We start from the raw sequence: 16,876 nt of genomic DNA on the forward strand, positions 1-16,876 counted from the left end.
TACCAATGTAATGTTTAGAGCCACCTTCATCAAAACCATTTATTGAACTATTTTAACTTAATGCATAACATGTAACGCATATGCCTGATAAGATTGTGATTGTTAGGAAGACCTTTATATTTTCTCAATGCTCTAGAATATCTTAAATTATGTCAAAGCACTTACTAAAATTCAAAGAATGAAATGAACACGTTTATTTACCTAAAATGTAAAAGTTGTCTATAAAATTTCTCAGTAGGTAATGTGTGGAGGGCAGTGTGCAACAGAGAGAGGAGGCCGTGAGGTGAGCCTTGGGGCAGGGCACAGCTGGGATCCTGTTGCTGGTCTAGTGCTTGCTATCTCTGTGATACTGGCACAGTAGCTAAAGACTCATCTTTAATGAGAATAAAAATGTCATTACCTCACACAGATGTGAGGTCTAGGTGAGGTAATTGAATTTAAGCCTAGCATTGCTTAAGAAGTGTTATTTGCATTTCTCAATAAAACAGTAAACGCCAATACAGTATTAAAATACTTGAAAATCTCTGGAAATATAGGTAGTAGAAACTCTTCAGGGCTTTTGCACTTGGTGTTCTCCCGTGTACTGTAAAACCTTTTCCCCAGGTGGTCATATGGCTTCCTACTTTTCATCAGTGAAGTTTGTGTTTAAATATGACTGTTGATTAATAGAGTCCTTTCCTGAGCAACCTTCAAGATAACTGTTGGCTGGGCTCAGTGGCTCATGCCTGTAATCCCAACATTTTGGGAGGCTGAGGGAGGAGGATTCCTTGATACCAGCAAATGGAGATCAGCACTGCAACATGGTGAAACCATGGTGCAATTTAATGATGAAATCCAGTGTCTATCAAAAATTTAAAAAAAAACAAATTTAGCCAGGCATGGTGATCCGTGCCTGTGGCTCCAGTTATTCAGGAGGCTGAGGTTGGAGAATCTCTTGAACTTGAGGTCGAGGCTGCAGTAAGCCTTGTTCACTCCAGCCTAGGTGACACAGTGAGAACTTGTCACAAAAAACAAACAAAACAAAACAAAACAATACAAAACAAAAAATCGTCCTCTTCTTAGAACCATTCTCTAGTTAACTATCACCTCTCATATTCCTCTTAGAATTAATCACCATGTGAATCAATTTCCTTGGTTAGCATTTATTGCAGTATATATACTTAGCTGTATATATGTAATATATGTATTACATATATAGCTACATTCTCACTAAAATATCTTTTTAAGAAATTGTTTATGGATCACATTTAATAAAGAGGATCAAAATATTACATTAAATTGCTATTTTAACTTAAGGCAAAATATTTTCACGACTTTTTTTGTAAGATTGTCTTAGCTAGGGCTGCCATCACAAAATACCATAGACTGGGTGACTTAAACAGCAGAGATTTATTTCTCACAATTTTGGAGGCTGGAAGTCTAGTCAATGTGCCACCGGATTCAGCGCCTGGTAAAGGCTCTTCCTGGCTTGCAGATGTCCAACTTCTTGCTATGTCCTCACATTTCCTTTTCTCACTAGGTGCCCTGAGCAAGGGAAGGTCTTGGGGTAGAGGGGGCAGGGGAGAGAGAGAGAAAGAGAAAGAGAGATCTCTTCCACTTAGTAAACCACCAGTCCCATTATGCGGGTCCCACCCCCATGACCTCATCTAACTCTAACCACCTCCTAAAGCCCCCATCTCCAAACACCATCACACTGGGGGTTAGGGGTTCAACATATGAATTTGAAGAAAACACAATCATTCAGTCCATAACAAAGATGAAAATATTTTCACAAGTTTATTTTGTGTGTGTGTGTGTGTGTGTGTATAAAAGCAATATACCTTCACAAGGCTTTTGTGTAAAACCTCAGTCACTAGTGCATTAAATACTACTTTAATTGCTACTGTTATATACTGCAATTTTCAATGCCTATGATTTTGCCAACTATTAATTCTAGAGTTTTAATTGAAAGGACATTTAAAACGTTAAAATAATTTAAATTTTATTTTTATTGCATTGGCATTTCCTGGATGGTAATAATTTTATGTTTTAAAAATTGGGAGAAACTATTTATTATAGAGCTGACGGTCCCCAGGTGGACAATTCATAGGAATTATAAAAGACTCAACTATCCACTTGATTTATTTTATTCTTAAACACTTAATCAGACTTTCATAACTAGAATAAAGTGCTAAGGAAAATTAAACTCCATTAATTATTTCAAGGCCAATTTAGTGATCACTTCTACTAAAGAATTATCTCAAGAGCATACAAAAAATTCAGATCAGTGTAATTCAAATTTTTATAAAACTGATCTAGAGATCATCTTTCAAAATAAAAATAAACATAATTTATAATTTTGAATGCATAAAGTAAAATTCAATATATTAGCAATACTAATGTCATTTATTTGATGAAAAATTAAGACACTGGTTTTCACAATATTCTGTTTAATTGAAATTCTGTTTGTTCTTATAATCCCATATTTTCGCAAATTCTCATAAAACTTAAATTTCAATTTTATAAAATCAGACAATTGTAATGACAAAATTGTACAATAGAAAATATACAAAAATAATAGAGTCTATGGGCCGGGCGCGGTGGCTAACACTTGCAATCCCAGCACTTTGGGAGGCCAAGGTGGACAGATCACATGAGGCCATGAGTTCGAGACCAGCCTGGACAACATGGTGAAAACTCGTCTCTACTAAAAATACATGAAAATAGCCCGGTGTGGTGGCAGGCGCCTGTAATCCCAGCTACTTGGGAGGCTGAGGCAGGAGAATCACTTGAGCCCATTAGGCGGAGGTGTCAGTGAGCTGAGATCGTGCCACTGCACTCCAGCCTGGGTTACAAGAGTGAAACTCTGTCTCAACAGGCCCCAGTGTGTGATGTTCCCCTTCCTGTGTCCATGTGTTCTCCTTGTTGTGGGGGGTGAGGGAGGTGGGAGGGATAGCATTTGGAGATATACCTAATGTTAAATGACAAGTTGCTGGGTGCAGCCCACCAACATGGCACATGTATACATATGTAACTAACCTGCACGTTGTGCACATGTACCCTAAAACTTAAGGCATAATAAAAAATAAAAAAAAAACTCTGTCTCAAAATAAAATAAAATAAAATAAAATAATAGAGTCTATGACACATCCTATGTTAGACAAGTGACATCCTTTACCATTTGTAAAAAATCTAAAAAAGGAATTTCAGCTTTTTAAAGATATAATTGAACAGAAAGTAAATTCTTAATATAACATCATTAGAGGCACACAATCGTCACATATACAGAATTATTGAATGAATGAGAGAAAAAGAGAATCCTGGTTTTATTTTCTCTTAGAAAGACTTGAGGTGTAATTAAAACACAGCAAAATTCAGATAAGGTATCTGAATTAATTAACAACATAGAGAATCAAGTAGGAAATTGATTGAATATAAGGTCAGGAGGGATCCAAAATCCTTATTTTTAAAATTCTTGAATAGTATAAATGAATTAAAATGTGGCTCTGGATCTATTTTCTCTTTTAGGATCACAGAGAAGAGCGTATTTCCTCATAATCCTATGTGTCTAAGAAAGCTTTTTTGCTCTTTTTTTTTTTATTTTTTTTTTTAGACCGAATCTCACTCTGTCTCCCAGGCTGAAGTTCAACGGTGCAATCTCAGCTCACTGCAACCTCTGCCTCCCAGGTGCAAGTGATTCTCTTGCCTCAGCCTCCTTAATAGCTGGGATTTCAGGCACCTGCCACCATGCTTGGTTAATTTTGTACTTTTAGTAGAGATGGGTTTTCACCATGTTGGCCAGGCTGGTCTCAAACTTCTGGCCTCAAGTGATCCGCCTGCCTCGGCCTCCCAAAGTGCCGGGATTACAGACGTGAGCCACCACGCCTGACCTAAAGCATATTTTAAAAGGTTATTTGAAAATAATGTTTAATATACAAAAAAATAGCAAAAATAAATAATGCAAAGAGCCCCTGTGTCCTCTTAACTCAGATTTACCCAATGTTAACATTTGGACCAGTTGCTAAGTTAACATTTATGCTCTCTCACTCTTCTTTTCTATCCTAGTATGTGTCTCTTATTTCTCTTTATCCAAAATGAACCTTTGAGAATGAGTCACAGGTAACATGTTTCTCTAAATATTTTCATATGTATTTCCTAAGAATAAACACATTCAGCTGCATAATTACAGAATAGTTATCAACTTCAGTATGTTTACTCTCAGTATAGTACTGTAATCTGCCATTACATTCTAATTTTGTTAGCTTGTCCATTAATAGCTTTTTCTCTCCTCCAGTGCAATGTCCAGTCTAGATTACATATGACATTAAGTTGTCATGTATCTCTAGTGTATTTTAACCTGAAGTATTTCCAAGGCCATTTTATCGACAATGACATTTTCAATTATAGTTCTCCCAATCCACCCCCCCCTTATTTAATAATAAAAACAAATCTTCAATTTGATTTTGTTTGATACAATCTCATGATTTAAACAAGTTTATATATTTTCAGCCAGAATACTATAAAAGATATGTTGTGTGATTTTCAGAACATCACTTCATGAGGCATGTGATGTCTGTCTGTTGCTCATCAGTGATATTAATTTCAGTTGCTTGTTTTTCTTTTGTAGTTACTGTTCTTTTCCTTGTAGTCTGTGGAAACACACTTTAAGTTCATGCAAATATCTCCCTCTCTCTCTTTTTTTTTTTGCTCAGAACTTCCCTCCTCAAGTTTTCAACCGTTGGTGACTATACTTCTCTCTTTCACCAGTCTTTAATTTGCAAAAAGGATTATTAATATCAAAACCTGCAATTACGTTTGTACCAACCTAATATTTAAACGACATCACTTAATCTGCATTTATCAAGAAGTACTCAGCATTTCAAGGTAAGAAATAGTATTCCTGTCTCATTTATGCATGTATGTATTTAGGATTGCTGAAGATTTAAGAATTCTTTTTTACTCAAATGTTTACAATTGATTGCTGTCTTTATTTTCATGCTCAAATTGTCCCATATCTGTACTTTAGGACTAGCTATTATCCTTATGACAGGTAATATCATTTCTTTTAGTATTTTCTTACTTTTGGACATATTTCAAGTTTATTTTGTCTCTACTCTACTCTGACTGGAATCTACCATTCTTTGTGGAGCCCTGGTTTCTTTTTAAAAAATGATACTAAGGCTGGGCACAGTGGCTCATACCTGTAATCCCAGCACTTTGGGAGGCCGAGGCGGGCGATCGCCTGAGGTCAGGACTTCAAGGCCATCCTGGCCAACATGGTGAAACCCCGTCGCTACTAAAAATATAGAAATTAGGCTGGTGTGGTGCCACATGCCTGTAGTCCCAGCCACTCAAGACGCTTAAGCAGGAGAATTGCTTGAACACGGGAGCAGAGGTTTCAGTGAGCCGAGATTGCACCATTGCACACTAGTCTGGGTAACAAGAGTAAGACTTCCTCTCAAAAAAAGAAAAAATAAAAAGAGATTAGAAAATAAGACCTGAGCATATGTTCCCATTGTTACTGGAGTGTCTTAGCATCTAGGCTTTTTACCAGATAGTGGAAGAAAATGTGTGCATATACTTTTATATATATGTACATAAACATACATACATATGTGCATAGAGACTCATAAATAACTATAAATGCATGTACACATATATATGAATATTTTAGAATCATGAGTTCACGCCTATCCCACCAATTTCAGTCTATCCCCATGGAGTTCTTGTTGCCTTTCTCTATTTCATGTGTATATATCTCTTCTTTCTCAGTGAAAACCCAACTTTAGACAAAATCAACACATTTACTTGTTAGATCAATTTGATAAGACATCTGAAATGTTTTCAGAGCTGTTTCATTCATATGAATACAAATATATACACACACACACACACACACACACACACACACACACACACACACACAAATTAGAGATTTGTCATCTCCTGATTACCTAAGACTGAAGGCATATAGTTAAATATTTTATTCATAAAGTACTTTTTCTTCTTTCCTTTTTCTTTTTTTTCGTTCTGTCTCTTACTTTTTTCAATGTAGCTATTTTTTTGAAATATAATTACAGTGCTTTGTTCCAGCTTATTTTTTCCCTTCTCATTCTAGTTGATTTAATTTTCCTTTAAAAATACATATGACATAATTTAAAAGTCAAAACACTGGAAAAGTTTAACCCCAAAAAATTGTTACTCTTTCTCATATATCGTTCACCCTTATTTTCAACCTTTGTAGGTATTCGACTTCATTGTTTTCTGGTTTTTCCTTCCTCTGTTTCCTTTTGTAATGGTCATAAAGGTATGTATGGATGGGTGTATGCACGTGTGTGTATATTTATGTAAGTGTGTGTGTATATGTGTGGATGTTTATCTTCATACATAACTGTATATTTCCCCCATTTTCTGACATAATATTTAGTACACTGTGCATGTCCTTTGCGTTTTGGACTTAACAATATCTCCTAAAACTCACTCCAAATCATTCACGGAGATCTTCTTTCTTCTTTTTCATAGCCAGGCTGAACTCCACACTTAATACACTACAATAGATTCTAGTGATCTTCTATACCTGGACATTTAGATAGTTTCACATATTTTGTGATTACTTGTAAATGATGCTTCAGTGACTATCTTGTCCATATCTAATTTTCATTATTAAAGATGTTTTTCAGGGTAAATTATTGGAAGTGGCATAGTTGGGATGAAAAGTAGCTGTCTACCTCTTATGGGCTAAATTGTGACTCCCCAAAGTTTATATGCTGGAGCACAACCCCAAGTACCTCAGAATATGACTATATTAGGGCTTTTGAAGAGGTGATAAAGTTAACATGGGGCCCTTAGAGTAGAGCACAGAGTGACACAAAAAGTATACACACAGAGAGAAATGACCACTTGGGACACAGTGAGAAGATGCCCACCTTCTAGCCAAAAAAGAGAGGACTCAGAAAAACTAAATCGCTGACACCTGCATCTTGGACTTGTACAGAACAGTAATAGAAGAATTTTTTGTTGATTAAGCTATCCACTCTGCGATATTTTGTTATGGTGTCCCAGCAGACTAATACATTACCTATGCAGATATGTTAAGTAATATTAAATTGCCTTCCACAGGAGTTATACTATTTTGCATTTCCACAAACTTTAAATGAGATTATTTCTTTTCCTTCGACTTCACTAAACAGTGGATTGTCGAGATTTTCACTTTTGCCAATCTAATGAGTAGGAAATAGTACTCTAGGCAGTGTTAATTTGCATTTATCTTATTAATAAAGTTGAAAGTCTTTTTATATGTTTGAGTCAGTCTTATATTATTTGTTAGAATTGTTTGTAACTTTTGTTGATATTGCCACATATTTATTCTTTTTACCCTTTGATGTTTAAAAATTCTTTTAATATTATGGATATTAGCCCTTACCTGTGCAAAAAGTCACAAATATTTTCTCGTAGTTTGTCATTTGCTTTGAAATCACTTGTGCTGTTTTTGTTTTGCAAAAGTTTTCTTTTATATTTATATAATCAAATATATCAATAGTTTATTTTATTACATCTGAATTTACCATCATAGTTAGAAGGTCTTTTCCCAGATTGTAGAAGAATTAGCCAATAATTATTTTTAGTATTTCTATAAACTTATTTTTCTTTTAAGATCTCTGATAAACACATTTGGAGTTTACTCCTTCATTTTTTTGTGACATGTGGGATGAATCATATTGCATCTTTTTCCAGACATTTATGCACTTATCCCAATATCATTTATTAAGAAGACTATCTCTACTTTAGTAATTTGATATATCAGCTTTATAATGCACATAGATTTTTATATGTTGTTCTAGAATTTCTATTATATATATTTTTAATTTTACTTTTAATTTTTGTTGGTACATAGTAGGTATATATTTTTATAGGGTACATGGGATATTTTGATACAGGCATACAATGTGTAATAATCATATTAGGGTAAACAGGGTACCCAATACCTCAAGCAATTATTCTTTATATTACTAACAATCTTATTGTACTCTTAGTTACTTAAAAGTATATGATAGTATTATTGACTATGTTCACTTTATTGTGCTATCAAATAGTAGATCTTATTCATTCTTTCGTTTTTTTTAGTACCCCTTACCCATGTCCACATCCCCTGACCCCATACTACACTTCCCAGCCATTGTAAACCACCATATTCCTCTCGTTGTCTGAGTTCAATTGTTTTCTTTTTAGGTCCCTCAAATAAATGAGAACATGCATAGTTTGTGTTTCTGTGTCTGCTTTATTTTACCTAACATAATGACTTCCATTCCATCCATGTTGTTGCAAATGACAGGATTTCATTCTTTTTTATGGTGAGTAGTACTCCATTTCGTATATTTATCACATTTTCTTTATCCATTCATCTGTTGATGGAAACTTAGGTCACTTCTAAATTTTAGCTATTGTGAAGAGTGTTACCAGCATTTGTTACTGTCTGTTTTCTTGGATAAAAGCCATTTTAACTGGAGTGAGATGCTATCTCATGGTAGTTTTGATTGGCGTTTCTCTGATGATAAACGATGATAAGCACCTTTTCATATACCTGTTTGTCATTTGTATGTCATTTGAGAAGTGTCTATTCAGATATTTTGCCCAGTTTAAAAATCAGATTATTAGATTTTTTTCTAATAGAGTTGTTTGAGTTCTTCATATATTCTGGTTATTAATCTCTTGTCATATGGGTAGTTTGGAAATACTCCCATTCTGTGGGTTGTCTCTTCTGGTTATTAATCTCTTGTCATATGGGTAGTTTGGAAATACTCCCATTCTGTGGGTTGTCTCTTCACTTCGTTGACTGTATCCTTTGCTGTGTAGAAGCTTTTTTAACTTGATGTGATTCAATTTGTCCATTTTTGCTTTGGCTGCCTGCGCATGTGGGATATTACTCAAGAAGTCCTTGCCCACTCCAATGTAATGAAGAATTTACTCAATGTTTTATTTCACATTCATAGTTTGAGATCTTAGATTAAGTCTTTAAACTATTTTAATTAGACTTTTGGATATGGTGAGAAACAGGAATTTAGTTTCATTCTTCTGCATATATATATCAATTTTTTTCCAGGGGCATTTATTGAAGACATCGTCGTTTTCCCATTGTATATTCCTGACACCATTGTCTAAAATGAGTTCACTGTAGATGTATGGATTTGTTTCTGGGTATTGTTTCCTGTTGCATTGCTCTATGTGTCTGTTTTTATGCCAGTACCATGCTGTATTGGTTACTATAGCTCCGTAGTGTAATTTGAAGTAAGATAATGTGATTTCTCCAGTTCTGTTGCTTTTGCCCAGTATAACTTTGGTTATTCTGGGTCTTTTATGCTTCCACATAAATTTTACAATGTTATTTCTACTTTATTGAAGAATGTCATTGGTATTCTGATAGGGATTAAAGTGAATCTGTAGATTGCTTGGGTGGTATGGACATTTTTAACAATATTGATTCTTTCAATCCATGAACATAGAATACCTCTCCATTTTTTTGTGTGTGTGTTCACTTTAACTTCTCTCACCAATGTTTCAGTTTTCACTGTAGGAATCTTTAAGTTGTTTGATTAAGTTAATCTCTAGGTATTTAATTGTATTTTCAGATATTATAAATGCTATTACTTTCTTGATTTCCTTCTCAGATTATTTTCTGTTGGCATGTAGAAATGCTACTGACTTTATATGTTAATTTTGTATCCTTCAACCTTACTGAATTTGCTTATCAGTTCTAATAGTTTTTTCGTGGATTATTTAGGTTTTTCCAAGTATAAAATCATGTAATCTGAAAACAAGGATACTTTGATTTTTCCTTTTCAATTGGGATGCCCTTTATCTCTTTCTTTTATGTGATTGCTCTGTCTAGAACTTTCAATGCTATGTTGAATAACAGTGATAAAAGTGGACATCGTTGTCATGTTTCAAATCTTAGAAGAAAGCCTTTCAGTTTTTCCTCATTCAGTATGATACTAGCTTTGGGTCTGTCAGGTATGGCTTTTATTATGCTGATGTATGTTCATTCTTTACCCAGGTTTTTTTACAGTTTTTTTAAATATATATTCTTATTATACTTTAAGTTCTAGAGTTTTTATCATGACAGGGTGTTGAATTTTATCAAATAATTTTTCAACATCAATTAAAATGATCATATTGTTTTCTGTCCTTTATTCTGTTGATATAGTATATCACACTGATTGATACGCCTATGTTGAACCATCCTTGCATCCTTGGGATAATTCCAACTTGGTCATGATGAAGAATCTTTTAATATATTTTTGAATTTTCTTTGCTAGTATTTTGTTAAGGATTTTTGCATAAATGTTCAACAGAGATATTGGCCTGTAGTTTTTTGTTTTATGTGTCTTTGTCTAGTTTTGATATCAGGGTAATACTGGCCTCATAGAATGGGTTTGAAAGTATTCCTTCTGCCTCTGTTTTTTGGAATAGTTTGTGTAGGATTGGCATATGTTATTTAAATATTTGATAAAATTCAGCAGTGAAACCACTGGGTCCTTGACTTTTATTTGCTAGAGTCATTTTATTATGGATTTGATCTCATTACTTGTCATTGGTTTGTTCAGGTTTGAATTTCTTCACAGTTCACTTGTATGTGTCGAGGAATTTATCCATTTCCTCTTTAGAGACTAATATGAGCAACGGTATGCCAATTTATTGGCATATAGTGTAGCCTCTAATGATCACTTGAAATTTTGCACTAACAGCACTAATGTCTCTGTTTTCATCTCTTATGTTATTTATTTGGGTCTTCTCTCTCTCTCTCTCTCTCATTTATTTTCTTCTTAAAAAAAGAGTTTTCAATTAGTCGACCTTTTGTATTTTTCTTTGTTTCAATGTTATTTATGTCCACTTTGTTCTTTATTATTTCTTTTCTTCAACTAGCTTGGCATTTCGTTTGCTCTTGCTTTTCTGGTTCTTTCAGATGAACGTTAGGTTGGCTATTAGGTTTTTTCTTTTTTCTTTTTTTTTTTTTTTTTTTGATGTGGGCACTTATAAACTTCCCTCTTTCTACTGCTTTTGTGGTATCCCATGTATTTTGGTACATGGTGTTTTCATTATAATATTTTTTCAACATTTAAAAAAATGTTATTCTTAATCTGTTCATTGACCCACTGGTCATTTAGGTTTATATCATTTAATTTTCTTGTGTTTTATAGTTTCCAAAATTTTTCTTGTTGTTAATTTCTAGTTTTATTCCATTGTGGTCAAAGAAAATACTTGATGTTATTTCAATATTTTTGAATATTTTAAGACTTGCTTTATGGTTGAACATATCACCTATCATTGAAAATTAGCCATGTGATGAGGAGAAGAATGTTTATTCTGTAGCCATTTGATGAAATATTCTGTAAATATCTACTAAGTCCATTTGGCCTACAGTGCACGTTAAGTCTGATGATTTTCTGTCCAGATGATCTGTCCGATACTGAAAGCGGGATGTTGAAGTCTCCAGATATTATTGTATTTGGGTCTTTCTCTCTCTTTAGCTCTAATGATATTTGCTTTGTATGCCTAGGTGTTCCAAGTGTTGGTTGCACATACATTTACAATTGTTATATCATCTTGTTGTATTGATCCCTTTATCATTATATAATAGCCTTGATAGTTTTTATCTTGAAATCTATATTGTTCATTATAAGCATAGCTATTCCTGCTCCTTTTTGGTTTCTAATTGCATAGAATATCTTTTTTTCCATCCCATTATTTTCAGTCTGTGTGTCCTTACAGGTGAAGTGTGTTTCTTGAGGCAACAGATAAATGGTTCTTTTTTCGTTGTTGTGGTTCATTTTGCCACCCACTCTATGTCTTTTGATTGGAGGATTCAATCCATTTAAATTCAATGTTACTTTGGATAAGTAAGGACTTACTCCTTTTATTTTCTTCTTTGCTTTCTGGTTGTTTTCTGGTCTTCTTTCTCTCCCTTATTTTCTTCCTTCCTGTCTTTCTTTTAGTAAAGGTAATTTTTTTTCAGGTGTTATGTTTTAATTTATTTATATTATTTTTTGTATCCGTTGTATGTTTTTTTCTTTATTTGAGGTCACCATGAGGCTTGCAAATACTATTTTATAACCCATTATTCAAACTGATGACAAGTCAACACTGATTGCATAAATAAACAAACAAGCAAAATGAAAGCAAATAAAAACTCCATATTTTAAACTCATCTCCCCGCATTTTAGCATTTTGTTGTTTCTTTTTATGTCTTACTGTGCTGTCTTAAAAAGTTGTTGTATTAATAGTTAATGTTTTTGATTGGTTTATCTTTCATCTTCCTACTCAAGATATGAGTGATTTAAACACCACAATTACTGTATTATAATTTTCTGTATTTTTATCTGCACTTACTATTACCCATGACTTTTATACCTTTAAATAATTTCTTATTGCTCCATCTTGTCTTTCAGACTGAAGAACTCCCTTTAGCATTGTTTTGTAGGACAGGCCTGGTGTTTATGAAATCCCTCAGCTTTTGTTTGTCTGTGAAAGTCTTCATTTCTCCTTCATGTTTGAAGAATTTTTTTTGCCAGATATTCTATTGTAAGGTAAATGGATTATTTTTTCCTTCAGCACTTTAAATGTGTCATGTCACTCTCTTCTGGTCTGTAAAGTTTCCACTGAAAAGTTTCCTGCCAGAAGTACTGGAGCTCCATTCTATATTATTTGTTTTGTTTTGTTTTGTTTCCTTTTGTTGCTTTTAGGATCCTTTCTTTATCTTTGATTTTTGGGAGTTTGATTATTAAATGCCTTGACATAGTCTTCTTTGGGTTAAATCTGCTTGGTGTTCTATAATCTTCTCTTACTTCAATATTGATATTTTTCTCTAGTTTTGGGAAGTTTTATGTTATTATTCCTTTGACTAATCTTTCTACCACCGTTTCTTTCTCTACCTCCACTTTAAGGTCAATAACTACTACATTTGCCCTTTTAAGGCTACGTTTTTAAATCCTGTAGGTGTACTTCATTGTTTCTTGTTCTTTTTTTTTTTTTTTTGTCTCCTTTGATTGTGTATGTTCATAGAGATTGTCTTTAAATTGACTAATTCTTCCTCCTGCTTGATCAATTCTCCTATTAAGAGACCCTGTATGTTCATCACATTTCTCGACTCCAGAATTTCCACTTGACTCTTTCTAATTATTTAAATCCCTTTGTTAAATTTATCAGATAAAATTCTCAATTCCTCCTCTGTGTTTTCTTGAATTTCTTTGCATTTCCTCAAAACAGCTATTTGAATTATCTATCTGAAAGGTAACATATCTCTGCTTTCCGGGATTGGTCCGTTGTGCCTTATTTAATTCATTTGGTAAGATTATCTTTTTCTGGATGGTGTTCATGGTTGTGGATTTTTGCTGGTGGCTGGGTATTGAAGAGTTAGGCATTTACTGTAGTCTTCACAGTCTTGGCTTGTTTGTACCCTTCCTTCTTAGGAAGGCTTTGCAGGTATTTGAAGGGACTTGGGTGTTGTGATCTAAGTTTTTGGTCACTGCAGCTGTATCTACAGTAGAGGGCACCTCAAGCCCATTAATGTAGTTCTTGCAGACTTGTAGAGGTACTACCTTGGTGGTCTTGGATACAATCTGGCAGAATTCTCTGGATAACCAGGCAGAGGCTCTTGTTCTATTTCCTTACTTTCTCCCCCTAAATGGAAACTCTCTCTGTGTGTGCCAACCTGCCTGGAGCTGGGTGTGGGGTGACAAAATTACCCCTGTGACCACCACCACTAGGACTGTGCTGGGTCAGACCTGAGGTCAGTAAAGCACTGAGTCTCGCCCAAAGCCCGTTGTAACCACCGTTTGGCTACTAGCTGTGTTTGCTGAAGACCCTAGGGCTGTATGATCAGCTGGTAGCAAAAGCTATTCAGAAGTCTTTATGTCCTTCCCTCATGGCAGAAAGTGCCATGGACTTGGGGTCCTGGGCAAATCCAGAGATGCTCTCTGAGAGCCAGTACCTGAAGTCAGATACCCAAAAAAAACACATGATGTGTTATTTCACTGCAGCTAAGCTGACATCAAAATCACAAGACAAAGTTCTTCCAACTCTTCTCTCCCATTTCCTCAGGCAGTGAAGTCTCCGCTTGTGTCTATCACCACTTCAGGCCCATGTGGACTACTGCCAAGGTACTGCTGATGTTTGCTTAGGGCCCAAGGTCTCTTCAGTCAGGTTGTGGTGAATGTTGCTAGGCCTGCTATCACTGGGCAGAACTCAACCTGTGTTCACAGAGGAAGCATTTATGCCAGCCCTAACCAGCGAGGACTCACCTATCCCAGTGGTTGGAACTTAAGTTTTAGCAAACCTCATTTCCATGAGCTACAGTGCTCTGGGGTTCTAAATAAACTTGAAAGGCTCTCTAGGCCACAAGGACTGCAACTCCTAGGCAAGTTCTAGTGCCGTATTGGGCTTGGAGCCAGTAAACTTGTGGGGCATGTGACCCAGTGACACATTCACTCTTTGGGGCAGTAGGCTAGTCTCTGGCCCAGAGTAGGTTCAGAAATGCTGTCCAAGAGCCAAGGCCTGGAATTGGAGGCCCCAAGAGCCCACTTAGTATTATTTCTCACTGTGGCCAAGCTGGCACCTAAACTGTAAGACAAAGTTCCCTTTATTCTTCCCTCTTATTTTCTCAAGAAGGAGGGGTCTTTCCTAACAGCCACCACAGCTGTGAATATGCTGGGTCACACTTGAAGCCTACACACCTCCGAGTCTCACCCAAGACCCATGGTTTGTACTAACTAATTACAACTGCTGATTATTCAAGACCCAAGAACTCTTCAGTCAGGTGATAAATCCCACCAAGACTGAGTCCTTCCTTTCAAGGCAGTTATGTCCCTTCTGGCTCAGAATGTATCTAGAAACATCATTTGGGAGCTAGAACATGAAATGGGGTCCTAACAACTCTTCCCAGTGCCCTATACTACTGTGGCTGAAGTAATATCCAAGTTGCAAAACAAAGTCCTCTTTACTCTACCTTCTCCTCTCCTCAAGCAGAAGGAAGGGCTGTATTTCAGAGCTGTGTTCTGATTTGCCAGGGTTGGGGGAGTAGTGGTGCAAGCCCTTTTTAAACTGTCACTGCTCACATCTCACTGGGTCACATGCCCCACAAGTTCACCGGCTCCACGCCCAGTATGACACTATGACTTGTCTAGGAATTGCAGTCCTTGTGGCCTAGACAGCCTTTCAAGCTTATTTAGAATCCCAGAGCACTGTAGCTCATGGCAACGAGGTTTGCCAAAACTTACGTTCCAGTTTCTTGGATAGGTTGATCCTCTCTGGTTAGAGCTGGCATAAATGCTCCCTCTGTGGGCTCCCTCCAAATTTTGCCCCATGATAATAGCACTGAGTTCCCGCAATTGCTGAACTCTTTGTCGCCTAAGTGCACAGATTCTGTCTGCATGCTACTGGGCCACTGCTAGAGGATGAGGAAGTTGTGATGTAAGTGCTTCAAGACTGTTTTTCCTACCCTCTTCAGTGCCATGTCCAGCAGTGTGAAGTTAAAACCAGGTATTCTGATTGCTCACCTGATTTTTGGTTCTTATGAAGGTGCTATTTTGTGTAGATAGCTGTCAAATTTGATGTTCCTATGGGGAAGACAATTGGTGGATGCCTCTATTTGGCCACCTTTCTCCCTCCCCTCCGTCTCTATCATATTCTTTCAGTATCTGAAATAAAAATACTTGCTGATATATAGTTAGAAGACACATTCTGTTTCTCTGCCAGTGTAAATGGTCTGCTTTATTTTCTAGTCCATCATTTGTAATTTTCTGAGACAGGAATTAGAATAATTTCCTTTGCATACACAGTCATAAATTAGAAATTATACAAATGATTTTCATTTATTTTACTTTTAAATATTTGTTTTACATGTGTTTAACAAGAGGAGAAAATGTTCTTATACACAGATGCATGGCAAGGCATATGTCAGAAGATCTAAAAGTATTTTATTTTTATGGTTTAATACAAATATTTTAAAATGTCTTTGTTAGACATTTCATGTTTGAAAGAAATCCACTAGTTTTGCAGATCCCTTTTACTAACTATAAAATAATCAGAACAGAAAAGTAAACTTTTTTCTCAATATTTTATTTGAAATTTATAATAAATATGAAACTGCTCTTAGTAATTCTAATTAATGTATCTTTCTATTGGTTATATCATAAACCATATATTTGCAAACAATACCACTTCAAACTCAACTTAATCACACTCCATAATAATTACCATAGACAATAGTCATTTTAATATTCTACTAGAACTGTATTATCATTTGCACAACCTACTCACATAATAATTATTTGAAAGTAAATAACTATGAAATTCTAAAACATCTTCAATGACCTTAATTATTTTATTACAAGTTATAATCTTATGATACAAAGATCTAATGGTTTACCTTTGCCTTACTCATGAAAATAATGAAACAAACTATTTTTATTATACATATGAAAGTATTAATTTGATATTTAAAATAAAATCTAATGGTTTACCTTTGCCTTACTCATGAAAATAATTAAACAAACTATTTTGATTATACATATTAAAGTATTAATTTGATATTTAAAATACATCTAATATTAATATATTATGCAGTATGTCCATTTTTTTTAAATGCTACTATATGTGATATTTGCCTCAGAGGTAAAGAATAGAACATATTAAATTAATGTCTTGACCCATAATTTATCACAAACTCCATATGTCAAGTATATAGTGTACCTTATTTTTATTAAGTCAAAATTGATTTAATTGAACTATGTCTTTTTATTTGTAGCCAATTATCATTCAGTCAAATAATTTTGCTTAAAAATTACTAGTATAACTACTCGGGTATATAAGAATTAATTTTCTTTACATCAAGAGTAAGGCTTGT

At 34.8% G+C, this 16,876-nt stretch overlaps 1 long non-coding RNA gene across 1 annotated transcript in view; it reads left to right on the plus strand.

Annotated features, from left to right (window-relative positions):
* The first annotated feature begins 4,719 nt into the window (after window positions 1–4,719).
* Window positions 4,720–16,876, plus strand: part of LINC01720 (long intergenic non-protein coding RNA 1720) — a 176,769-nt gene continuing 164,612 nt past the window's right edge. The window contains exon 1 of the long non-coding RNA NR_033922.2: window positions 4,720–4,863. This is a non-coding gene — a long non-coding RNA (long intergenic non-protein coding RNA 1720). The remainder of the gene's footprint in view (window positions 4,864–16,876) is intronic.

This window comes from Homo sapiens, chromosome 1 (assembly GCF_000001405.40).
Source record: "Homo sapiens chromosome 1, GRCh38.p14 Primary Assembly".
NCBI lineage: Eukaryota > Metazoa > Chordata > Mammalia > Primates > Hominidae > Homo > Homo sapiens.